This window comes from Homo sapiens, chromosome 8 (genome assembly GCF_000001405.40).
Source record: "Homo sapiens chromosome 8, GRCh38.p14 Primary Assembly".
Taxonomy (NCBI): Eukaryota; Metazoa; Chordata; class Mammalia; order Primates; family Hominidae; genus Homo; species Homo sapiens.
The window spans coordinates 98,842,457-98,869,572 of record NC_000008.11 but is presented as its reverse complement, the minus strand read 5'-3'; the positions used below and the strand labels follow the sequence as shown (position 1 = coordinate 98,869,572).

Genomic DNA, 27,116 nt, shown 5'->3' with positions numbered 1-27,116 from the left:
GTCTTCACATGGCCTTCCTTTCTGTGTTTCTCAAATCTCCTTCTGCCATTCTCTATAAGGACACCTATCATTGAATTTAAGGCCTGCCCATATTATTCAGGATGATTACATCTAGAGATTCTTTATTATTTTATTTTATTTATTTATTTTTTGAGACAGGGTCTCACTCTGTTGCCCAGGATGGAGTGCAGTGGCACAATTTCGGCTCACTGTAACCTCTGCCTCCCGGGCTCAAGCGATTCTCGTGCCTCAGCCTTCTGAATAGCTGAGATTACAGGTGTGAGCCATCACATCCAGCTAAATTTTGCATTTTTGGTAGAGATTGTGTTTCACCATGTTGGCCAGGCTGGCCTCGAACTCCTGGGCTCGAGTGATCCACCAGCCTCAGCCTCCTAAAGTGCTGGGACTACGGGCAAGAGCCACCAGACCCAGCGTGAGATTCTTATCTATCAACAAAGACTCCTTTTCTTTTCTATTTTCTCTTTCTCTCCTTCCTTCCTTCCTTCCTTCCTTCCTTCCTTCCTTCCTTCCTTCCTTCCTTCCTTCCTTCTTTCCTTTTTCTCTCTCTCTCTCTTTCTTCTTTCTTTCTTTTTTTTGAGTCAAGGTCTCATGCTGTCATGCAAGCTGGAGTGCAATGGCATGATCATAGCTCACTACAGGCTTGACCTCCCAGGCTCAAGCTATCCTCCCACCTCAGCCTCTCGAGTAGCTGGGACCACAGGCATGCGCCACCACAGCTGGCTATTTTTTTTTATTTTTTATTTTTAGTAGAGACAAGGTCTCACTATGCTGCCCAGGCTGGTCTCGAACTCCTGAGCTCAAGCCATCCGCCGGCGTCGGCCTCCTAAAATGCTGGGATTTACAGGCACGAGCCACTGCACTAGGTCCCTTTTTCTAAATAAGTTCACATTCACAGGTTCCAAATGGATACATCTTTTTGGAGGCCACAATTTAACCCACTATGCTTGGTTAAATGATTTTCTTCTTAAGAATTATTTTTTAAAGGAGTGATTGATTTAAATTTCCAAGTCCTTTTATCACATGGCTACATGGTAGGCAGAACTGAGCTGTGGCAGAACTGAGCTGTGGCAGAACCCACTGAGTGGCTCCAGCGGGGCTGGGGGATACACAGTAACAAATGGGCCACACACCTAAGAAACATGCACTGAGGGTTTAACTCCCTGAGTGTTGCTATCCAGGGGAAGTGGTGGTGAAATTGCAGCAATAAGGTTAATGATCTTTCTCCTTCGGCTGTGGGATTTGGATTACAAAACTCAACTGAGACTTCTTTGAGAATTGAATAGCTTCCACTCATGCACTGTCCAAGATTTCTAAAAAGTTGACTTCAGTAAAAGGTATTTTGTTTGGCAGACAATAAGGAGCTGTTTTTTTAAAGTTTTCTTTTATTTATTCTGCCTCCAGGATTATACATTGGAGGTGTAGGTGTGGTTGGCACTTGTTCCCTTTCGTATTTCAGGAGTCACCCTGACCACCTAAAAGCTGGGTTTTTAAAATTATTCAGATCCATGGAACATCCAGAGCCTTCACTGGTGATGAGGCTGTGTGTGGTGCTCAGAGACAGGCATCATTCTTTGAAATGTTAGGCAAGTCTCAGCAGAGCCCCTAAAGAGAGTATTTCCTGTGCTGTCAAAAGAGTTACCATAAATGGGAATGTTATAATAGTAGCTAAAGTTTACCAGGGGCTTATTATAGGCCTGGCACTGTCCTAGGCCCTGGCATGTGCTGCATTTATTCTTTCATTTAAGCTTTGTAATAACCCTGTGAGGCATGTACTGTTATTATCTCCATTTCACAAATGAGAAAACTGGGGCATGGAGAGGTTAAATTCTTGCCGAAGGTTGGTAAGCAATGAAGCTGAGATACAAACCAGTTAGGGTAGCTCCAGAGACTGTGCTCATAACCACTCTGTAATCTGCATCTTCTGATCCATTTCTGACAAAATTGTGCAGTGGGTGAAGCTGTCTCCAGCTTTTTTTTTTTCCATGCCCTCCCTGCCTTATTTTTTCCTTTCTGAGGCAGGGTAGTGTAGTAGAAAGCATATGGAGGTTTTAGTCAATCTAACCCAGCTATGTGAGCCTAGACAAGTTAGATAAACATCCCAAGCCTCAGTTTCCCCTTTTAAAAAAATTATTTTTTCGAGACAGGGTTTCACTCCTATCACCCAGGCTGGAACGCAGGGGCGCGATCTCGGCTCACTGGAACCTCCGCCTCCCAGGCTCAAGTGATCCTCTTGCCCCAGCCTGCCATGGCTGGGATTACAGGCATGCGCCACCACGCCCAACTAATTTTTGTATTTTTTGTAGAGGCAGGGTTTCACCATGTTGCCCAGGCTGGTCTCCAACTCCTGGGCTCAAGCAATCTACCCACCTAGCCTCCCAACGTGCTAGGATTATAGACATGAACCACTGCGCCAGGCCAGTTTCCCCATTTTAAAATGGTAATTATAATGACAACTTCATAGGATGTCCTGTGGATGAAATAATATAATGTAGTGGATGTCGTGGTGTGCTGCCCAGATCACCCTTTCAGGATCAAGGCACTCTTCCCCTCCCTCCCCTCCTGTCAAGAGAGTTACCTGTTAACAGTTCACAACTGAGCCTCTTCCAGAAGTTGCCTTCAGCTGAAGGTATTAAGTCCAAAATTCTGCCCCTCCCCAGGGGCATCTGGCATCTGATGACTTATCAATTGTGTGTAGAAAGGGCAAGAAGGCCCACTCCCTTCCACTTAGGACACCTCTGAAGGACCAGCTACCGGTAGGAGGATTGGTTGAAACCTCTATTGCAGCTGTGCTATTCTTCCACTTTTTCCTCTGCCCAATCCTGTTTACTTCAGTCCTCTCAGGCACTGGTGCTGAGATCACTTCCCAATGAACCTCTACATTCAGACCTCCATTTCAGAATCTGTTTCCTGGGGAGCCTGACTTACAGCAGCTAATGTATAGAGAACATCTGACACACGGTACGTATTCAATAAACTCTTTCCAGCGTTCCTACTCACCTTGTATTCTTCCTACTGCAATGCCTCACCACCCCAGAGTGCTTGTGCCTTGGACTACCTATGTCTCAACGAAATTTAGCAGCCCCACATCTTGCCACAGGGAAGCATCTTATCAAAAGCTGGTTAGTCATGGGTCAATTAATGTCTCTATTCAGCTGGGTTGAGGGCTTCATAACCTCCTAGACTACATTAAGCAGTCACAGGGTGAGAGCCTGATTCTAGAGGAGATCCAATTACACTACATAGGTAGCTGCCCACAGCCCTAGACATAAGAGGCTTTCAGCGAATGTTTATTGTTGATGATGTAAGGCCACTACTGACCCTGCAAAATGAACACTCAGTTTGCAGATTCCAAATAGGTGGAATTCAAAAACTAGACACACTCTCTCAACAGGAGGTGCTTTGAGAACTTAACAAAATTTGGAATTTCTGCTCCATCAGCAACATGCCTGAGAGATCTGAGCATGATGGTCTAAAAACTGTAGGGTGTAGATAGGGAAGAAAGCAGCAGCCACAGTGTGCAGGCAGCAACATACAGCAACGGGGCACATGGTCCTGCATCCCAGGAATGTTGCTTGCAGAGCCTCTGCCCACTCCAGACTGCAGGACTGTGTGGCCAGGAGGAAGAAACAGTCTGGGGCAGCCCCATGTGTTGCCCTGTGGGCAGGCGACAGGCCTTGCAGAAAACCTAGTGGGCTATTTCACACAGTGACCACTGCAGGGCACTAACGGGGCTTTGATACTCCACTGTGTTGCAACGTAATATAGACTTAGATGGACTTTGATGTCCATAATGATACTCCACAGCCAATGGCATTGGCCTACTGCTATTTTAAAGGCACGTCGTATAACTTTATTAGAGAGTACCCCTGAGAAATGACCTGTGCTTTAAAAATAGCAAACTAGGCTGGACATGGTGTCTCATGCCTATAATCCTAGTGCTTTGGGGGAATAAGGTGGGAGGACAAAGACCAGCCTGGGCAACACAGTGAGACACCATCTCTAAAAATATTTTTAAAGATTAGCTGGGTGTGGTGGTGAACACCTGTAGTTCTAGCTACTTGGGAGGCTGAGGCAGGAGGATTGCTTAAGCCCAGGAGGTTGAGGCTGCAGTGATATCATGCCATTGCACTCCAGCCTAGGCAACAGAGTGAGACCCTATCTTTAAAAAAAAAAGTAGTAAACTATATGGCATAAACTATATGGCCATTTTGGATTGCTTATGTTGGGAGGCTGAGAGGTATAGGGGAAGAAACACAAGCTCTGGCAAAATTAACCTGGTTTCAAACTGGGTCTGCTACACTCACCTAATTGTTAAGAAAGTTTTTGTAGAGACAGGTCTTACTATGTTGCCCTGTCTGGTCCTGAACTCCTGGTCTCAAGTGGTCCTCCCACTTTGGCTTTCTAAAGCACTGGGATTACAGGTGTGAGCCACCACGCCTGGCCTCTTCTTCTACAGTAATAAATGCTGTATGGCTTCTATTGGTTGCCCTGCAAAAGACTGTATTTCTGATCCTTCCTGTCATCTAGGTGTGACCATGTGGCTGGGTTCTGTAAAGTGGGATGAGAGCTGAAGTGATATGTGCAAGTTCTGGCCCATGTCCTAAAGAGAAAGGAGATTGCTTTTTCTACCTCTTCTTTCTTTCTGACTGAAATGTAGCTGTAATAGAAGGAGTGGAAGCAGCCAATATGGACCACAAAAAGCTGCTTGTTGAAGATGAAAGTAGTAATAGAATAGGCCAGAGTTTACCGTATTAGCCTTGGGCCCTTATGTTCAGAGTGTTATGTGACAGATACAAACTTCTATCTTATTTAAGCTACTGTTATTCTGACCTTTGATGTAGCAGATAAACAAGTATTTTACCTAAACTCTTAAATCTCAAAAAGTTTGCCTGTGATGTACATTTCTCATGAAGTTACCTGGGATATGCTACACCAACACAGGGGAATCAACCAAGAAAAAGGAAACCATGTGGTTTGGGAAACAGAGGATTTAATACAAGGTAGAGACAATGGAAGTACTCAGGAATCTAGTTTAGTTATATGAAAACAGACATTACCAATAGCTAGTGGCTTCAACAAGAAGAGATTTTCTCTCACCAAATGAAAGATCCAGAAGATAGCAAGCAGTTCCTGGTGCATACAGCTGTTCTATAATGTCCTTAGAGACTTAGTCGTTCTTGTTTTGTATTCCACCATCCCCATGGTGTGCTTTTTATACTCAGGTTTACAAGTTGATTGCTGAAACTTCAGCCATCACTCCCATGTTTTAGACAGTAGGAAGGAGGAAGATTGATGACAAAATGGAATAAAATCCAGCTGATTGAGACTTTTTTTTTTTTTTTTTTTTTTTTTTTGAGAAGGAGTCTCGCTCTGTCGCCCAGGCTGGAGTGCAGTGGTGCAATCTAGGCTCACTGCAAGCTCCGCCTCCCGATTCATGCCATTCTCCTGCCTCAGCCTCCGGAGTAGCTGGGACTACAGGCACCCGCCACCACACCCGGCTAATTTTTTTTTGTATTTTTAGTAGAGACGGGGTTTCACTGTGTTAGCCAGGATGGTCTCCATCTCCTGACCTCGTGATCTGCCTGCCTCGGCCTCCCAAAGTGCTGGGATTACAGGCGTGAGCCACCGCGCCCGTCCTGATTCAGACTTTTTTTAAGGAGCTTTCCTAGAAGCCCCACCCAACAACTTCCATTTGCCATAAATTAGTCACATGCCTGATCTTATTTGCAAGGAAGGCTGGAAAATATAGTTTGCTACCCACAACAAAATCAAGGTGTGGTTAATAAGGAAGAAGGAAAGAATAAATATTACATAGTTAAATGGTTGTTTCTACCTTGTACTTCTTTCCCAAAATGTTGCCATTGCCTGTGGATAGTGAGAATATGGATGGTAATGGGTTGTTTTCATTTAAAATTTTTTTGTATACTGGTTGTTTTATAGCAAATATGTATTATTTTTTAATCAACCACACAGAAATATAATAACCAACTTTATTAATTACCACATGCTAGGCGTGCTCTAAACAGTTTGTGTGGTGTGTGTGTGTGTGAGCATGTGTGTGTTTATGAATTCCTCAAAGTAAATCTTTGAGGTAGATGCTACTGTTATCTCTATTATATATGGGGAAACTGAGGTACATGAAGGTTAAGTGACTTGCCTAATATCATTCATTTAGCCAGTGGGAGAGCCAGTGTTGAAATCCAGGGAATCTAGCTGATAGTCTGCCTTCAGCTCAATGTTGTACTGCCCTTCCTAAAAGAAAATTAAACAAAGAAAATAAAACAAAAAGGCAAATGCTGCTCTTATCAATGATAACACCAGTCTCACTATTTTCACAAAGACAAGAGCTGCATCTCTATCATACTTCATATTATCTTGATGTTGTCTGTGTCAGGTAAGATCCTTGGCTGGGGACCTCCTGCTCACACCATAAAAAAGGAACCATATCCTCCTGAAATCGACCATGTCTCCACCCAGAGGGCAGCAGGCTTGGGCTCCACTCACTTTTAAATACATTTGACATCCTTGGCAGCCCTGGCCATCATCAGTACCACTTAACATATTTCCAAGGAGTCTGGTATGTTTGGGAGTGCCTCCTTGCCTCAGACTAAATTGGCCAATCCACCAAGTGAATGCCTGAATCTCTACTAGGCTGGTTTGAACCTGTTGTGTGTACCTTAAGAATGAAAAATACTAGACATCTGTCACTTCATCCAATTAAGTCCTACCTTGGTTTATTAATAGAACTAAGAGCCTCACATAGGTCACCTGACTCCTTCTTCAGTAGATGCCATTTCAATAGATTTTGCAATCCCTCTGATACCAGCGCCCTCCTTTCTGCCTTCTCAGTTCTTCAAATGATTGCATGAACTAAAATCGCATGAGCTTGAAATTGCATTGACTGTGACTGGTGATATTTGAGAGTTCCAATGTCTCTAAAAAGTCCTGTTCGGTCTGGCATTGAGCCATCTCCAAATGAAAAACCCATTTTCCTGGCAAGAAACAATTGATGTGAACCTAGACTAACATGGTATTAAAAGGGCCTATGAATTTACATAGCTGAAGATTGTTTGCTGGAATCCCAGGTCAGGCAGTGTAAAAAATGTTTTCCCGTGTTGGATATACTGTGCATTGATTTGAGCTTAACTTGGTTTAAATTCTTGCAAGTGGGGTTGCTAGTTCTTATGTTTGGATTTTGTTATCAAAATCTTGGCAATAAATGATTTTAGCCCTATTATATTTTAACACCCTTGAAACCAATGTCTGTGTTAGCTTCCTGCATTAAGAAGGGAGAAAATGCATTACTCCAGAAGTTCCAGAGTTTCTCTTCTCAGAATCCTTTTTGGAATGAAGATAAATTTCATTTTTCACACATCTTTCCTCAATTCAATGCCTCGTAAGTAGTACCAGCTTCTCCTAATGATCTCATCTTCTTTCTGCCCTTTCTCCTTAGGGTCTGTGGACTCCCTATTCCCCACCCAGAGTGGGCCTCAAGGATTTGGGTGAATTGGGGCCACAGGTTTGAGTGGGAAAAAAGACCCCTGCACATTTACTGAATCTGGCAGGCACTTTCATTTAAATTATCCAATTAAATCTCTGTAACAAATCTCTCAGGCTGACATTCTTTCAGATGAGGAAACTGGGACTTCAAATAATAAATTTTCTCTAGGTTCCACAATGAGGCAAGTCCATGAACAGTGTACCTGGTTCACAAGGCTGTGAATGCTGCCTCCTTAAAGCAATCTCTTTACTCTGTTCTGATTCAAAAGCTGCAAGTGCCTCATTACTATCTCTTGCCTTGTTATAAAGATGGAGGGACTATAATTGCATTTAAAGTTCATACCAAGGTGCTGCCATTCTCTCGTAACAGAGACCTCTTGAAGACTAAATATCCAAATAAATGGGTCCTGGCATGGTGGCTCACGCCTGTAATCCCAGCACTTTGGGAGACCAAGGTGGGCGGATTGCCCAAGCTCAGGAGTTCGAGACCAGCCTGGGCAACACTGTGAAACCCCGTCTCTACTAAAATACAAAAAATTAGCCGGGCATGGTGGCGTGCGCCTGTAGTCCCAGCTACTCAGGAGCCTGAGGCAGGAGAATTGCTTGAACCTGGGAGGCGGAGATTGCAGTGAGCCGAGATAGCACCACTGCACCCCAGCCTGGGCGACAGAGACTCTGTAAAAAAAAAAAAAAAAAAAAAAAAAAAATCCAAAGAAACAAAGCCCTAAGAATACATTGCAAGACGTGACATGTTAATGACATGTAAAGTGTTTCACCTCCCCAGAGTGAGTCCTGAGAGGTTTCTGGTGGAAAAGAAGATGGATTTGATTGACCTTTTAGGGATCATTCAAACCCTGTAGTGTAAGGAGCTTAGCCTTGCAGCCCCTGTCCCAGCCCTGGACAGTACCCTCTTTGCCCACTTCTGCAGCTGCTTCTGCTCCCACGGTACAGCTTATTCTTAGCCTAGTGTCCAGATTTTTTCTTTTTCTTTTGGGATAGAGTCTTGCTCTGTCCCCCAGGCTGGAGTGTAGTGGTGTGATCTTGGCTCACTGCAACCTCCACCTCCTGGGTTCAAGCAATCCTCCCAACTCAGCCTCCCCAGTAGCCAGGACTACAAGCATGCACCACCACACCTGGCTAATTTTTTATTTTATTTTATTGTAGGGATGGGGTTTCACCATGTTGCTCAAGCTGTTCTCGAACTCCTGGACTCAAGGTGTCTGCCCACCTCGGCCTCCTAAAGTGTTGGGATGACAGGCATGAGCCACCGCATCCACCCCGTGTCCAGATTTTTGTGTGTTTGTCGTATGCTGGTCCATAGTGTCCATAGTCCCTCTTCCTCAGCATTATGCTCCTAGTTCTTTCTGAAAATATAATTCATAACCTATGATCTTTCACTCCTGTTTCACATTTAAAAAAAATTGATCTCCTTTGTAAATCTGTGCAATCTGCGCGTTATCATGTACTTACTGACATGTTCTTTTTTTCTGTTGGGCTATGAGGGTTGAGGGATCCACAAAAGGAAGAACAAGGTCTTCTTCCAGCCTTGTCTGTCTGGCTTCTCCAGGCTTGCTGAGCTATAACTGGTCTTTCTTCTGATTTTCAAGCACACCAAGCTCCTTCCCACCTTAGGGCCTTCACACTTGCTGTTCCCTCTGCCTAGAAAGCTCTTCTTGGGCGTCTTCCCACAGCAGGCTCCTTCTAATCAACAGGTATCAGACGTCACCTCTCTGGGAGACTTGTTCTGATTCCATATAAAGGAACCACCAACCTCCAGCCACTCCATCACATCCATTTGTTTTGTTTTCTTCATAGCACTTATCTATTTCATGTTATCACATCTATTTTGATCCTTTAAAAATAATCTGTCTTAACTTCATGAGAACAGGGACCTTGTCTTTTTCACCGCTACATCCCAGCACCTAGAAAAGTGGCTCGCACATAGTAGTAAATAAATATTGATTAATACATGAATGAATAGTGGTACTCAATACATGTTAGTTGAACTAACATGAATAAATGACAGAATTTGGTTTCGCTTTCCTCTGAACACCCACAACCACACCTCTCAGCATAATTACCAACTCCTCCATATTGCAATAGTTTTATTTCTCTGAGTAGGCTTGGAGCTCAAGTAGGTAAGCACACTGTCTAATTTATCTACATATCCTTCCTAAACCCAGCAGAGTGCCTTTCACGTTGTAACTTCTCAATAAACGTCCTTCCATTTTCTGGTGACTATCAGAGCCCAAGAAATGCTGTCTGGGTTCTTACCAGTGATGTGGCCAACACACATTCTGTCCTTATACATAAGCATGGTCATGCTGTGTGATATGATTGCACAGGGTAGAAAAGCATGCCCTGGATGGCCAGCTCCTTCTATTCATGCTTCTGGGTCTCGGAGCCAAATGTGCTGAGAGGAGTCATAAGAGCTATGTTGTTCATGGATAGGAAAATCAACAATGTCAGTTGCCTTGTTTCCAATAACCTTGTGCTGATTTTTTAAATGTCAACAGATCATTGGGGTATCTTTAAAAAGCAGCCTCAGTGACGCCTAGATTCCTGTGCCCCATTGTGACTCAGCAATCAAATCCATGTATAACTAGAGCTTGGATGATTTTCCCACTAATGTGCTTGTTAACTTATATATAGGCCAAAATTGTCTGCTGTTTTCGCTTTGCCTAGTTTATCCTTGTCATTTTGACATCTCACTCCCCATAAAAATGTAGTATCATTTTCAAATGTAGAGATTTTACTGTCTTTTCCAAAACATAATAAACCATTAAATTGGACTGACCCAGAATTGCTTCCTCAGGAAATACCACAATTTACACTTCTCCATTTAATAATGTCTCTGCCCTACTACCTTGATGTTAATTCTTTTCTCATAGTGAAACCCTAGGCTAACTCAACTAAGGAATAGCTATTGGTGTGAAAATTTTTCAAAGATTTTTCCAAAAATCAAATAAATTCATTATTTCTCCCCTTTCTCTGTAAATTTGCTTTCCTTCTGAAAGAATAGTCAAGAATGATTTATTCTTATAGACACTGAGTTGGCTTTTCTTTAACTGACAAATATTCAGTAATCCTTAGTCCTTTTATTTATTCACATTGCTGCCAGTGTGCAGAGATTGCTTTTTTTTTTTTTTTTTTTAGATGGAGTCTTGCTGTCTTGCTCTGTCACCAGGCTGGAGTGCAGTGGCATTATCTCGGCTCACTGCAACCTCCGCTTCCTGGGTTCAAGCAATTCTCCTGCCTCAGCCTCCCAAGTAGCTGGGACTACAGGCATGCACCACCACGCCCAGCTAATTTTTGTATTTTTAGTAGAGACAGGATTTCACCATGTTGGCCAGGATGGTCTTGATCGCTTGACCTTTTGATCCACCCGCCTTGGCCTCCCAAAGTGCTGGGATTACAGGTGTGAGTCACGGCGCCTGGCCCAGATATCTCCCTTTTAGAGGCTTGACCCCTCCCACTATCCCTTCAGCCAGGGAAAATAATGATTAAGTCTAGCAACTCAATTTTCAACCTTTTTCGGTTAAACATAAGATACAGGTACAAGAGAGAGTTTAAAAAAAAATTACCGGATGGATGTGGTGACTCACGCCTGTAATCCTAGCACTTTGGGAGGCCAAGGTAGGTGGATCACGAGGTCAGGAGTTATGTATATATACTATATACTCTCTCTCTGTCTCTCTCTCTCTCTCTCTCTCTCTCTCTCTCTCTCTATATATATATATATATATATATATATATATATACGTATGTATGTATATACTGTAGCTGGGACTATAGGTGCATGCCACCACATCCGGCTAATTTTTGTATTTTTAGTAGACACTGGGTTTCGTCATGTTGGCCAGGCTGGTCTCGAACTCCTGATCTCAAGTGATCTGCTCACCTCGGCCTCCCAAGGACTGGGATTACAGGCATGAGCCACTGTGCCTGGCCCTACCTTATATTTTTAAAATTCATTTTATTACAAGATAAAAAATTGTTGTCCATTTGCACATCCAGCCATTGGTAAACATGTGAGAAAATTAGTTTTAAAAAGTGAGCCTATCAAAATTATCATATTTTTCAACACCCAGTTAAATATTTCACACAGGCTTTTCTTTTCCTTTTCTCCTTTCTCCAGTTTTGCTTCTAACTGATTCTGTTATTCTCCTCCTATCAAAATATTGTTACAGCTCTTTCATCAGCTTTTTTTAATCCTGTAATAAAATGATTTACATTTTTATTTTCTTCTTATCCCCATCTCAATAATTCTGTATTTAGTTTAATTGCTTATAGCCAGTAGTTGGTCTAGTAAATAATTTTAACTTGAAATACTCATTCAGCTTCTATTTTATGGTCATTGATGTCACTTTTAGAAGTTTTAAATGGACTTTAATGCATTATTCCTTTTTTAAGAACTTGAAATGCTAGTAACTCTTACAGAAGTTTAAACCTATTATTCACTAGCATACTTCTCTAAACAATGAGCAAATAAGCCATTTAATCTTTTTTTTATTCTGCTCTTTTGATAGAAACTTAGTACTCTTGATTTGTTAATAAGGCAAATACATTTTCCTTTGAAAGACATGACAGGTGCTGTTCTTGTGCATAGATTCATAACTAGAAATTCTAAGCTCCCAAGTAACAGTTTTCGAGAGGCTGGAGAATGCTCCTTTAACCTTCATTAATTGCAAAATAAACAGATCCATGAAGCTAAACTTTCAGGAATCTGCACTAGATGTTCAAAGCTTTTTAATGTTCTGAAAAGTCATCAAATACAACCCTTGGGTGGATTTGGTTATTGTTTGTTTGTTTTTAACAGCTTTATTGAGATATAATTCACATACCATAAAATTCACCCTTTAAAGTGTGTGATTCGGTGGCCTTTAGTACGTTCACAAATATGTGCATTACCATAGTCAATTTTAGAACATGTTCATCATCTCGAGAAGAAACCCCCTATTCTTTAGCTATCTGCTCTCTCACTGTCTTCCCCCTGTCCTCCCCTGCCCTAAGCAACTATTAATCCAGGTTTTTTCTTTATAGATTTCTCTATTCCGGACTTTTATATAAATGGAATCCTATGGTATGTAGTCTTTTGTGACTGGTTCCTTTCCCTTACTGTAATGTTTTCAAGGTTCATCTATGTTATGGCAGTATATCAGTACTTTGTTCTGTTTTATGGCCCAGTAACATTTAATTACATAGATGTACCACATTTCATTTATCTGTTCATTAGTTGATGGACATTGGGTTGTTTCCACCTTTTGGCTCTTATAATAATGCTGCTACAAACATTTGAATACAAGTGTCTGTGTGGACAGATGTTTTTATTTCTCTTGGGCATATACCTAATAGTGAAATCACTGGGTCTTATGGTAATCTTATGTTTAATAGTTTGAGGAGCACCCAGACTGTCTTCCAAAGTGGTTGTGCCATTTTACATTCCCACTAGTAGTGTGTGAGAGTTCTAATTTTTCCACGTCTTCGCTAACACTTAATTGCTATTTGACTTTTTTATTCTAGCCATCCTACTGTGTGAAATGGTATCTCACTGTGGCTTCAGTTTGCGTCTCCTTGATGACTAATGATGTCAACCATTTTTTCATGTGCTTATTGGCCATTTATTTGTATCTCTTTCTTGGTAAACATCTATTCAGACATTTGCTCATTTTAAAATTGTGTTATTTGGCTTTTTATTATTAAGTTGAAAGAACTCTTTTTTTTTTTTTTTGAGATGGAGTCTCACTCACTCTGTCACCCAGGCTGGAGTGCAATGACATGATCTCAGCTCACAGCAACCTCCACCTCCCAGGTTGAGACCTCAGCCTCCTGAGTAGCTGTGGGATTACAGGCACCTGCCATTACTGCATGGCCTTTTTTTTTTTTTTTTTTTTTTGAGATGGAGTCTCTCTCTTTTCGCCCAAGTTGGAGTGCAGTGGTGTGATCTCGGCCCACTGCAACCTCCGCCTCCTGGGTTCAAACTTCTCCTCCCTCAGCCTCTTGAGTAGCTGGGATTAGAGGCACCTGCCACAATGCCCAGCTAATTTTTGTACTTTTAGTAGAGACGGAGTTTTGCCACGTTGGCCAGGCTGGTCTCGAACTCCTGACCTCAGGTGATCCACCCACCTCGGCCTCCCAAAGTGCTGGGATTACAGGCGTGAACCACCATGCCCGGCCTAATTTTTGTATTTTCAATAGAGATGGGGTTTCATCATTTTGGCCAAGCTTGTCTCAGACTCCTGATCTCAAATAATCCTCCCACCTCAACCTCCCAAAGTGGTGAGATTACAGATGTGAGAGATGTGAGTCACTGTGCCCAGCCTGAAAGCCTCCTTTATATAGTCTAGATACAAGCCCCTCAACACAAAAGTTCTTAATGTTGACAATGTCTAATATATCTATTTTTTCTTGTGTTGCTCTTGCTTTTGTTATCATATCTAAGAAGCTATGGCTGAATCCAAGGTCATGAAAATATACCCCTATATTTTCCTCTAATAGTTTATAGTTTTTGCTCTTCTATTATGTCACTAACCAATTTTGAGTTAATTTTTAAAAATAGTGGGAGGTAAGGGTCCAGCTTCATTCTTTTGCATGTGGCTATCCAGTGTCTCAGCACCATTTATTGAAAAGACATTCTTTCCCCATTGAATGATCTTGGTTCTTTTGTCAAAAATCAGTTGATTGGCCATAGATATATAAATTTATTTCTAGACTCTCTGATCCATATGTCTGTCCTTGTGCCTGCACCACACTGTCTTGATTACTGTTGCTTTGTAGTAAGTTTTGAAATTGGGAAGTATGAGTCTTCCTACTTTATTCTTCTTTTTCAAAATTGTTTTGGCTACTCTGGATCCCTTGAACTCTATATGAATTTAAGAATCAGCTTGTAGATTTGTTCAAAGCTGTCAGGTGAGATGATATTGGAATTGCATTGAATCTATAGATCAGTTTGGAGAGTATTAACATTTTGTTGTTGTTGTTGTTGTTGTTGTTTTGAGACAGCGTCTCACTCTGTCACCCAGGCTGGAATGCAGTGGCGTAATCTCAGCTCACTGCAATCTCCGCCTACCAGGTCCAAGTGATTCTTGTGCCTCAGCCTCCCCAGCAGCTGGGATTACAGGTGCACACCACCACGCCTGGCTAATTTTTGTATTTTTAGTAGAGACGGGGTTTCGCCATATTTGCCAGGCTAGTCTCAAACTCTTGACCTCAAAGTGATCTGCCCACCTTGGCCTCCTAAATTGCTAGGATTACAGGTGTGAGCCACCGTGCCCAGTTTTGGAGAGTAGTAACATGTTAACAATGTTAAGTCTTTTGATCCATGAACATGGGACATTTTATTCATTTATTTAGATCTTCTTTAATTTCTTTACAGAACGTTTTTAGTTTTCAGAGTATAAGTTTTGTGCTTTTTTTGTTAAATTTATTGTAAATGAGTTTTTTATAATTTTATTTTTAAATGATCATTGCAAGTATATAAAAATACAATTAATTTTTGTATATTAATCTTGTATCCTGCAGCATTGCTGAATTCATTTGTTAACTGTAATTTTTTAGTGGATTTCTAAGGATTTTCTATATACGAGATTACATCATCTTTAAAAATAGTTTTAGGCCCGGCATGGTGGCTCATGCCTGTAATCTCGGCATTTTGGGAGGCAGAGTTGGGCAGATCACTTGAGGTCAGGAGTTCGAGATCAGCCTGGCCAACATGGTGAAACCCCATCTCTATTAAAAATATAAAAATTAGCTGGACATTGTGGTGGGCACCTGTAATCCCAGCTACTTAGGAGGCTGAGGCAGGAGGATCACTTGAACCCGGGAGGCAGAGGTTGCAGTGAGCCGAGATCATGCCATTGCACTCCAGCCTGGGTGACAGAACAAGCCTCCATCTCAAAAATAAATAAATAAATAAATAAATATAGTTTTACTTCTTCCTTTCCAATCTCAATGTCTTTTATTTCTTTTTCTTGCCTAGTTACATTCATATTCATAAGAGATATTGGTCTATAGTTTTCTTGTGGTATGTTGGTGTGATTTTGATATCTAGGTAATATTGATCTCACAGAATGATTTGGGAAGTGTTCCTGCCTCTTCTATTTTTGGAAGAGTTTGTGAAAAATTGGTATTCCTCATGGAATGTTTGGTAGAATTCAGTGGGGATAACATGTGGGCCTGGGTCTTTCTTTATGAGCATTATAAAAAATTACAAACTAATTATTCATTACTAATTCCTAATTCATCTTTCTGACATATAGTTCTATTCAGACTTTCTATTTCTTCTGGAGTCAGTTTCAGTAGTTTGTATCTTTCTTTTGGTTCCTGATTCTGTCTGAGCTTCCCCACTTCATTATCTCTAAGTGTTGACAGATGTGATGAATCAGCACTAGCATTGTGGAGCACAAATGAGTGTGGCTAGATGCAAGACCTGGATGGATTAAAAAGCAGTCAGGGGTCAGCAACCCATGGAGCAATAGAAGCCAGAATGTGCATTAGCAGAGAAGTCAGGACCAGCCATAAAATAGAGCCAGTGGGAAACTAGACCCAGAGGGAAAGTAAGAACGAGGAGGTGTGCAAAGCAGGGGAAGGAAAACAGCAATAGAAGAAAACACAGACCAAGGCTTAGGCAGACAGACCAGAGACCAGCAGTAAGAACAGAGCTCACTCCCTGGTACTGAACCAACTTCTGCCTCAATCCAAGACCTTTTCTGAACTGTGTTGAAGGCAGGAACCACTCCTGAGCTTGGTGCCATGGGACTCAAAGATACAGATATGTGGGACCTATCTGACAATATTAGGTAATGAAATAATTAGGTATTTCAATTAGTGATAATTGAAATAATGTGAGAGCCCTAAAAAGATCTATACAACCTGCTCAAGTCATACCCTATACCAAATTCTTTTAAGCGTGAGAGTGATACCCTAGGAAAAATTAATTTAATATTAATATATATATAATTTCATATTCCTTAGAACTACACATGACTATACCAAACAATGCACAATTAGATTGACATTTTATATGTCCCAGAAAGAAGAAATTTTTTTTCATATTTTGGAATATAAAAGCTGAGCCTTTATTCCAAGTTAATTATCTTCCAAAAAGAATGGGTAACATAAATCCATTAAATGAATAAAAGAAGTAAAATGGAAAATATTTTTGATTACACATTTGATTAAAGTATTTAGTATGATGTGTATCTGGAAAAAATGGTCCCTTGAGGAATACAAATTCCAAGTAACATGGGGTTTATTTTAAAGGGAGAAAGCCACAGCTATGCTAATAATCCCTTTTAAGATTCTGTGGATAACATGAGACCCACAGTAGTATCTTACATAAACATGTAAGGAGATTTGAGAGAAACACAAAAATAAACTGTGAGAATTGCCCCTGCAAAGTTTTTTCCACCCTCTGGCTTTTTTTTAAATCTCAAGGAAAAGATGAGAGTAGAAAAGATAAAGGAAATTAAATCAGAAGAGTGAATTGTCAACTATGTCCTTGAAGAACATATTAGTAGATAGGTATAGGGATAGATTGATTATTTGATTTATTATTAACTGGGTCAGGGTGTTTTTACTTGAAAGTCCCCAAAGCCAGTGTAAATTAGCTTAGCTCCAGGCTGGGCACAGTGGCTCACCCCTGTAATCCCAGCACTTTGGTAGGCCAGGGTGAGTGGATCACCTGAGGTCAGGAGTTTGAGACCAGCCTGGACAACATGGTGAAACCCCACCTCTACTAAAAATGCAAAAATTAGCCAGGCATGGTGTGGGCACCTGTAATCCCAGCTGCTCGGGAGGCTGAGACAGAATTGCTTGAACCTGGGAGGCGGAGGTTGCAGTGAGCCAAGATCACGCCATTGCACTCCAACCTGGGCAACAAGAGCAAAACTCTGTTACAAAAAAAAAAAAAGAAAATTAGCTTAGCTCCAAAGGCAACTTGTTAGTTCATAGAATTGCAAAGTCTAAGAGATGTAGCTGAATGCTATACATCATTCTCTTGTCTTTCTGTCTCTTGGCTCTGCCTTCTTCTTTCTTTTTCTTTTTCATTTATTTATTTATTATTTAAGAGCAGATTTCACTCTGTTTCCAAGGCTGGAGTACAGTGATACAATCATAGCTCACTACAGCCTCGAACCTCTGGGCTCAAGAGATCCTCACACCTTAGCCTCTAGCTAAGTAGCTAGAACTACAGGTTTGCACCACCATGCCTGACTGTTTAAAAAAATGTTTTTGTAAAGACAAGGTATCTTCAAAAAAAATTTAAAAGCCTGATATGTGGACTAGGCTGGTCTCAAACTCCTGGCCTCAAGCGATTCTCCTGCCTCTACCTTCCACAGTGTTGGGATTATAGGCATAAGCCACCATGCCCTACCCCTCCTTTTTCTATTCCTCCTCACCCTCCTTTCCTCATCCTTCTCTGTCTTCTCCTTCTCTTCTTCTTTTTTTAACCTCATGTTTCTTCACTCTAAAAATGGATTTTTCCGTGTAGTTGAGGAAGATAGTTTTTGACAAAAATGCAGTTTCATACTCCTTAGAGCTAATTGTTGATTACATTAAGGAACACACTTCAGGCCAGTAGAGCTGTAGTAACACAGAAGGCAAGATAAGATGCTCAGAGAATGGTCATATCTGAAGGCCCCTCTGACTCTGCAACCTCTGTCTTTTCAACCATGACCTTGCCACAAGAGCCTTTCTCTATACTAGCGTGGGCTCGAGGAACTTCCGCACATTGCCTGAAGATGAGAATGGCTTCAGTTCATTCGACATTCACCCACTAAACACATGCTCTTAAGCTCCTACTCTGTTTGGGCTCTGGAGTACAGAGAACAGTAAGATAGATGACTCCCTGTCCTCATGGAAATTATACTTAAGTCAGTGCTGATGGTTGGGGGTGTTGCTTCCCTAGAATGGTGAAGGCCTCTTTGAGATGTGACATCTCAATGTGAGCATTGAGCTCAGATGCTTAAAGGTGAGGAGGTTTTAGCTATATGAAGATCACTTTCTAGGAGAGCAGAGAAAATCTCCTAGGAGATGCCAGGTGAGCTTCTGACTTAATCACAAGAAGGAGCTGGGCATGTGAAGGTTACACACCTGCCACACTTTCATAATTGAGTTCCTCACCCTCTCTCACCATTGTGGCTGCAGTAATCTCTTGGACAATCTTCTTGATTCTGAAGGGCCCTGGAGCTGCCTTTCTAAAATGCGGCTCTGATCATGACACTCTCCTGTTTAAACCCTTCCACTGCCCCAGGTTAAACTCTGAACCCCCAGGCACACAGGTGTGGTTGATGACCCGGCCCCTGTGCTCCTCACCAGCCTCATTCTTGCTGCCCACCACGCACTGCACGTCGCAGTCACACTGAAATCACTGGTGTTCCTCTTTCATGACAGGCCCTTTTACATCTTCATGCCTTCGTACATACTGCTCCAACACCCGAAATTCCCTTCCTTCTTTGGCCCTCATTCCCTGTGTAATCAATACTCATTCTTGAAAGATGTCACCTCCTTTAGGAAACCTCTGACTACCCCCAAGCTGGGTTGGATGTCTGTGCTGTGCGCTTGTAAGCCCCATGAGCTTACCTTAATCATATCATCTTATTGTAATTTTCTGCTTCTTGGCTTCCTCCTCCATTAGACAGTAATCTCTCTGAAGACAGGGTCCTTGTCCCAGCCCAATACCCAGAGCAGAGGAGACTCACAGTAAACATTTAAATACAAGTGTAGTGGCATGTTGACTGTAGTCCCAGCTACTTAGGAAGCTGAGGAGGGAGGATTGCTTGAGTCCAGGAGTTCAAAGCTGTAGTGTGCTATGATTGTCCCTGTGAATAGCCATTGCACTACAGCCTGAGCAACATAGACTCCATCTCTAAAAAAATTAATTAAATAAATAATAAATACGTAAATCATTTTTTTAAATCTACACAGAAACCAAAGTGCGGAAGGTGAATTATAGACTTCACCTTGCAGAAAACCGAATAAATGATGTATAGGGCAAATTTGAGAAACATTTCATAGGAAACCCATAAAAGTGATAAAGAGATAAAAATGAAAATTATGAGATTGAATAATAGATACAGAAAGTGTTGAACAGTTGTTTCTTTTCTGTTTTGCAGGCATATTTTCCTTTCAGTAACCTCTCATGCCATACCTAGTGTGTATAGCAATCATTTGACCCCCTGATTCCTGCCACAGGAATGGGCCTGTAACCCAGGCTGACCACCCTATTCCTTTGGACCTGGAAATTGAACAAGGAGTAAAAATAATCCCCACCCCCACCTCCAAGGAGGGCCAGTTAGCAATTTATGAAGAGATTGATACGGATCTCTTTTGGTATCTGAAATTATGAGCTTCTAAGAGCACTTTTGTTGTCAAGCAGAGCAAGCTCACCTGAGAATTAAGCCAAAGCAGAAAAAGGATTGCTGAAAAGTAGAAAGCTGGCATCTGTCTCTATTCAGTTTGAACCCTTGCATCCATCTATATCTGAAGTCAGGTCTCCCAAACTTCTCAGTTATGTGAGACCTAACTGTTTGGTTTACTTGCAATCATAAGATAAATATTGGTAACTAGAAGTGGAGTGCAGCAAGTCTTAGGCCCTAACATGAAGAACTGGGTGAGTTGAGGTATGTAAGTGGGAATAAGGATTCTTCTGTCCCCATCTAAGAACTGAACACTTGGATTATAGGGTAACCACACATGTTATATTTGAGAAATCTGATCATGTGCCTTCTATAGCTAGTGCTTTAGTGACTTGTAGAAAATATACAGATATTGGAATAAGTTGATGATTTTTTATGCTTTTAAGAATTTCTTTTTTTTTTTTTTTTTTGAGATGGAGTCTCACTCTGTCACCCAGGCTGTAGTGCAGTGGCGTGATCTCGGCTCACTGCAAGCTCCGCCTCTTGGGTTCACGCCATTCTCCTGCCTCAGCCTCCTGAGTAGCTGGGACTACAGGTGCCAGCCACCACGCCCAGCTAATTTTTTGTATTTTTAGTAGAGACGGGGTTTCACCGTGTTAGCCAGGATGGTCTCGAACTCCTGACCTCGTGATCTGCCTGTCTCGGCCTCCCAAAGTGCTAGGATTACAGGCTTGAACCACTGTGCCTGGCTGCTTTTAATAATTTCAAGAAAATTACAGCCTTCATCAAGCAGTTAAACATGCTATTGGCATATGGCTCAGCAATTCCACTCCTAGGTATTCCACAAGAAATGCAAACACATGTCCACATCAAAGCTTGTACATGAATGTTTACAGCAATATTATCATAATAGCCAAGAGTAAGAAACAACCAAATGTCCACCAACTAATGAATGGTTGAGGAAAATGTAGTACATCCACACAAAGGAATATTATCCAGCAATAAAAGGAGAAGTTCTGATATATGCTACCACAAGGATGAACCTTGACAATGTTATGCTAAATGAAAGAAGCCAGTCACAAAGCACCACATTTTATATGATTCCATTCATATGAAATGTCCAGAATAGGTAAATCTGTAGAGACGGAAAGTAGATGTGTGGCTCACACCTGTAATCCCAGCACTTTGAAAGGCCGAGGCAGGCGGATCACCTGAGGTCAGGAGTTCGAGACCAGCCTTACCAACACGGAGAAGCCCCATCTCTACTAAAAATACAAAATTAGCCAGGCATGGTGGCGCATACCTGTAATCCCAGCAACTTGAGAGGCTCAGGTGGGAGAATCACTTGAACCCAGAAAGCGGAGGTTGCAGGGAGCACTGAGAAGTCACCATTGTACTCCAGCCTGGGCAACAAGAGCGAAACTCTGTCTCAAAAAAAAAAAAGAAAAAAAAAGTAGATTAGTAGTTGCCAGGGACTGGGAGGGATGAGGGAATTGAGAGGTGAGTGCTAGGTTTCTTTGGAGTGATAAAAATGTTCTAAAATGGATTATGGTGAGGGATGCACAACTATGTGAAGATATTAAAAAGTCATTGAACTTTACACTTTAAATGAGTGAATTGTGCGGCATGGAAATTATATCTCTATACAACTGTTTTTTTAAACAAGAAGGCTTTAACCTAAACAGCATGCTGAATAAACAGCATGCTGAAGGGGAATGACATATAGCTCTGTGGAGAGGCCCTTTCTGTCTGTAACCAGCAAGATATCTGAGATACCTGTAGGATAACTAAGAAGCAGCTGATCATGTGCATTTGGAGAAGTCTAAGGACTCTATTCCCTACTTGAACCTGGAGCTAAAGTTAGTGAGAGGTAAGGTAGGCAGGTGGGAATTGCAGAAGATAAAACTGGCTGGGGTTAAGTAAGCACATAATTAGGAAGAAATATTTTTAAAAGTAAAAACAAACAAACAAAAAAAAACCTTTTTTTTAAAAAAAGAGGGAAAAAGATCCTGGCTGTGGTAGAAGCTTGACCCCCAGGCCTCCTCCAGACACCTCCTGCTGTTACTTCTCAGCACTACAAAGGTGACAGTAATTCTGCTACTAAAGACAACCACTGGGATGTGGTCTGAGAAAGACTACTGGATCTTGGGGTGTTGGGACACAGCCAGGAACAATACAGTTAAACCAAGAGCGAGGCGTATGGGCACAGCATCAAGGTCTGTGGCAAAGAGAAAAAGCCATTGGGCTGTGGGTTCGGGTTCAAAATTCAGGACCTGGCAGATCTTTGGCTTTGGTTACTAGCTCATGGAGTTGACAGTGCAAGATTCACCCTACTGCTAGGGCAGACTCCTTACTTTTTCTTTTAGCAGCACAGGTATATGCTATAGAATGGTGGCCACTGGAAATTGGCTCTCAGTTTTCAAATAAGAGGTTTTGTTGTGGTCTTCTGATTCACCTCATATATTGCAAAACTGAGTATTCAGGCCAGAGCACAGTGGCTATTCACAGATGCAATCATAGCGTGCTGCAACCTCAAACTCTTGGCTTCAAGCAGTTTTCCCACCTCAGCCTCCTGAGTAGCTGGGACTACAGGTACTCGCCACTGTGCCCAGCCTATATTTTTAATTTATCCATTGGTTATTAAATGAAGAGTCATATCTAGACCTAAAATTCTGGGACTTTAGAGCACAATATGGTGACTAGATGAGTTTTGAGGTTTCTTCTTTTGGGGAGAAAGAGAGTGTGTTTTCATTTGTGGAAGAAAAATTTGCATTGTCATGGGGGGGCACTTTTTAAAGTATATGAAAATGTGTGTGTGTGTGTGTGTGTGTGTGTGTGTAGGATCCTGAATAGTTTAGGAATGAAACGGACATCAACTCTATCTTTGTGGTTTCAGCACCTTTTGTGTTTGGGAACAGTCTCTCCACATCCAGTGGACATATGGTACATGCCCCTCAATACCTGATTGGTCTTGGATACATCATATAATAAAACCAATTAGAATCTTTTTATTGTGTGGAATTTATAGGGCTTTGGGGGAGGAAAAACCTTTCTTCTTGTGATATTTCAAGCACTAAGTAACCTATACGCTTGGAGCTACTGGGAACTAGTTTTGCTGCCATTTTCAAATAATCTGCCAGAAAACAAAGCTCTCCCAGAAAACAGGACCAAGGGGGCAAAGACTTATGTATGTTTTGTTCACTGCGGCATCCCAGCACTTAGAACAGTGTCTGGAACATAGTAGTTGCTTAATAAATGTTAGTTAAATGAATAAAATCAGAACTGAAAAATAGGAAGAGAGAAAGAATGCCTGTGTCATGGTTTGAACTTTTGCTTCCATTTGTTTCTAGAGTCAGCTCTATTCCTTGGCCTTCCCAGGGACATGGGTGAACAAATTTGTTTTATTCTAGTGAGTGTGGCAGACACTATCAATTGGTTCACTCAATACTGCTCCAACCCCATACTAATGAGACTTCGTGTACATCAGAGGCTGGAAGATGGAAGTCTACATTACCCATAGACCTTTGCAGTGAGGATTTCTGCATGGGATGTAGCATCCATCACATAGATGCATCTGAATGAGATTTGGAAGAGGGTTATGGGTCCTATGAGGTGGCTATTCCAGCAGCACAGTGGCAGAGGCATTTTGGTGCTTTTGCAGCAGCTGTCAGAAGCTCTGATGTCTTGTCAGTTCCTAGCTCTGTGCAACCAGCAGTGACAACAGCAACTTCCTACTCTGGCAACTTTCTTGACCATGGCTTAAAGGCAGCCTGGTCTTTAAGTCAGTAGTGGTGCAGCGGCAGTGGTAGCAGCAACTTTGCTGAGGTAGATTTCAATGTAGCTCCAGGAGTTCCTGAAAGTCCAGCCTCCTGCTACAAGTCTTCCAATCATTCTGCAGCAAGTTAATACACTTTAGTAAGTATCTCTCTGCTTAAACTGGCTTCAATGAATTCTTTTGCCCACAATTGAATGCTGATCAATTTGAAGTTGATTTTCTGTCATTAGCAACTGCAAGAGTCCAGACTAACTGTGTAGAACTTATAAAGGTAAAAATAACAAAGGAAGCAGAAATAATAAGAAAACATATGAGAAAACTTCCAAGTATATGAACGTGGAAAAATGGTTACTTTCAGCGGAAAAATATCAGATTGGCCTCAGGCTTCTGAGTAACACCAAATACCATAAAACAATAAAGCAATACCCATAGAAACTGAGGGTGGGAGTGCTGTCATGTGTGATGTCAAAAGAATGGCATTCTCAGTTATAAAAGATCTCAGAATTAGACCATCTATGTGTTCTGTCTGAAAAGTTTCTTAAAGATGAGCTCTATTACATTGAGAGACTCGTCAAAACTTAAGAATTTAAGAATGAGGAAGTTGTGGTAGAAAAGAACTGCTGACATGTAACAAAATCAAGTAAGCACATAAGACATAAAATTGATAAATATATTATAAAACTGAATGCAAAACAAAAACTCAGTGAAATAAATACGTGGTTTAAAAAAATAAGTCGGTATAGCTAGTAGGGTTCTTGCAAGTAACAGAAATGAACTCTAAGTAAAAAAAGAAAGTTATTAGAGGGCCATGATGTAGCCATAGAATCGAGGCAAAAACTATAGAATAGGGTCTCAGAGAGGATAAGAACCAGAGCAAGTCCAGGGATCCAGAAGGAACTAAGTGACAATCTCAAGTCATTGCCACTGGGATGCTCTGCTCCAACCATTGTCAGTTTTTGTCACGTGAAAGCAAAGTGCTTCTGGTGTACTTTGCTTATTGGAAAGTAGAAAAAACACTTCCTAGCTCCAAAGCTGTATACCAGTGACTGAAGCTGTAGCATTTTGCCCCAGTGCATATTTAGAAGAACAGCTGCAGTTGGAATAACCATCTGATCATGCTAGCAATAATCATTGACATTCTTTAAGACTGTGTTTGGGCCGGGCACAGTGGCTCACACCTGTAATCCCAGCACTCTGGAGGCTGAGGCAGGAGGATACCTTGAGCTCAGGAGTTGGAGACCAGCCTGGCCAACATGGTGAAACCCCATCTCTACAAAAAGTACAAAAATTAGCTGAGCATGATGGTGCGGGCCTGTAATCCCAGCTACTGGGGAGGCTGAGGTGGGAGGATGGCTTGAGCCCAAGAGGTAGAGGTTACAGTGAACCGAGATTGCACCAAGGCACTTCTGCTTGGGCAACAGAGCCAATCCCTGTCTCAAAAAAAACAAAAACACACACACACAAAACCAAGCTGTGTTGGGATACTGTCAGCCCCCTTGCAGGCTGTGTTCTCTTCTATTTCCTTTCTTCTCATCTTATTGGCTAGAATGACATCATATTCCCATAGCTGAACCAATTATTGCAAAGATAATGAAATTATTTAGATTTGGACATAGTCTAATTAAGATTTCTTCTCATGTAATGGGAAGGAGTTTGGTCTCCTTGAAGCCCATGGCTGTTTTATAATTTTAAAATAAAAAAGGTAGGACTGGGCATAGTGGCTCACAATTTTTTACTTGCTAAACAAAATGCCTTTTTAAATTTTATTTTATTTTAGAGACAGGGTCTGTTCTGTCGCCCAGGCTGGAGTGCAGTGGCACAACCATAGCCTTGAACTCCTGGGTTTAAGTGATTCTCCCACCACAGCCTCCTGAGTAGCTAGGACGAATGTGCCACTGCACCTGGCTTAATTAATTCATTTTTCTAAGAGACGCAGTCCCATTTTGTTGGCTATGCTGGACTTGAACTCCTGGGCTCAAGCGATACTCCCACTCGGCCTCCCAAAGCGCTGGAGTAGCTGGGATTACAGGCATGCACCATCACGCCCGGCAAATTTTTGTCTTTGTAGTAGAGACGGGGTTTTGCCATGTTGGCCAGGCTGTTCTTGAACTTCTAACCTCAAGTGATCCACCCGCCTCAGCCTCCCAAAGTGCTGGGATTACAGGCGTGAGCCACCAGGCACGGCTTCCATCCCTCTTTCCACAAAGATTTATTCAGATAAGCCAGTTGTTGTTTCAGGCGTAAACTAAATCATTGCCTGCTAGGGAATGGTCAAGCCGACAGTTTGAGCCAATGACAAGAAGAGGTTGTGGAAGCATTCTGGAAGAGGAGGTTTCTCCTTCTTATATAAAGGAGCTACCAAAAGATAGTATTTTTCTCCTTTGGGGCAGTTTTGTGTAAGATTTGGAGCTTGGCAAATTCGGCAGCCATTGAAGTCTTAGGAAGCAGCTGACACTGCCTATGTCAGAATGAAGAGGCAGAAAAAGAAAACATAAAACAAGTGAATAAACAAAAACTCCAATGTCTTTCATGTCAGTACTGAGCCACCAACTCAAAGCAAATCCTAAATTTGGAATTGCTCTATTTCAGGGTCTTTCAGTTAAATGGGCCCTTTGTTGAGTAAGGCAGTTTGGGCTGGATCATCAATTGCTTGCAATATAAAGAAGCCTAACTGATGCAGAGTTATAGAAACAGAGATCTAACTTTATTTTATGTATTCCAAAAAGTCACCTGTTTCATCCTAATTTATTGAGTGATCTGTTCTCTGTGATGTAAAATGTCACTTTATCATAAACAACATTTCCAGATAAAAATGGTTATGTTCTGGGCTTATTATTTATTATATATTATATATATTAATTTATCTATATCTAAGTTAATACCACTTTATTTATTTATTTATTTTTAGGGAGTCTTACTCCATTACCCAGGCTGGAGTACATGGTAGCATGATCTTGGCTACTGCAGCCTCCACGTCCCAGGCGCAAGCAATCTTCCCACCTTAGCCTCCTGAGTAGCTGGGACCACAGACGTGCTAATTAGCTAAGGACCATGCCTAGCTAATTTTTTTTGTATTTTTGACAGAGACAGGGAGGTTTCACCATGTTGCCCAGGCTGGTCTCAAACTCCTGAGCTCAAACAATCCACCTGCCTCGGCCTACCAAGTGCTGAGATTACAGGCATGAGCCACTGTGCCCAGCCAATACCACACTGTTTTAATTTCCATTGTTTTGTTTTGTTTTTGAGACAGGATCTCACTCTGTTACCCAGACTGGAGTGCAATGGTGTGATCAAGGCTCACTGCAGCCTCAACCTCCCAGGCTCAAGTGATCCTCCCACCTCAGTTTCCTGAGTATCTGGGACTACAGGCGCATGCCACCACGCCCAGCTAATTTTTTGCATTTTTTTGTAGAGACTTGATTTCCCCATGTTGCCCAGGCTGTTTTCAGACTCCTGAGTTCTAA

The 27,116-nt window shown here is 41.7% G+C and overlaps 1 protein-coding gene across 8 annotated transcripts in view, besides 2 other annotated features; it reads left to right on the top strand.

The window, feature by feature from the left end:
• Nucleotides 1-27,116, top strand: part of STK3 (serine/threonine kinase 3) — a 598,636-nt gene that overhangs the window by 73,038 nt on the left and 498,482 nt on the right. The gene's annotated exons all lie outside the window — the stretch shown is intronic.
• Nucleotides 18,155-18,305: a silencer, noted in NCBI's record as "fragment chr8:99863496-99863646 (GRCh37/hg19 assembly coordinates)". NCBI's record gives its function as "represses an EF-1alpha promoter that drives an FKBP-Casp9 reporter gene in an ReSE screen in phorbol 12-myristate 13-acetate-treated (for megakaryocytic differentiation) K562 erythroleukemia cells {active_cell/tissue: K562(+PMA)}" and the evidence as "EXISTENCE:reporter gene assay evidence [ECO:0000049][PMID:32094911]".
• Nucleotides 26,491-26,990: an enhancer, noted in NCBI's record as "H3K4me1 hESC enhancer chr8:99854811-99855310 (GRCh37/hg19 assembly coordinates)". NCBI's record gives its function as "activates a minimal SCP1, AML or CMV promoter by ChIP-STARR-seq in primed H9 embryonic stem cells {active_cell/tissue: H9 hESC(primed)}" and the evidence as "EXISTENCE:reporter gene assay evidence [ECO:0000049][PMID:30033119]".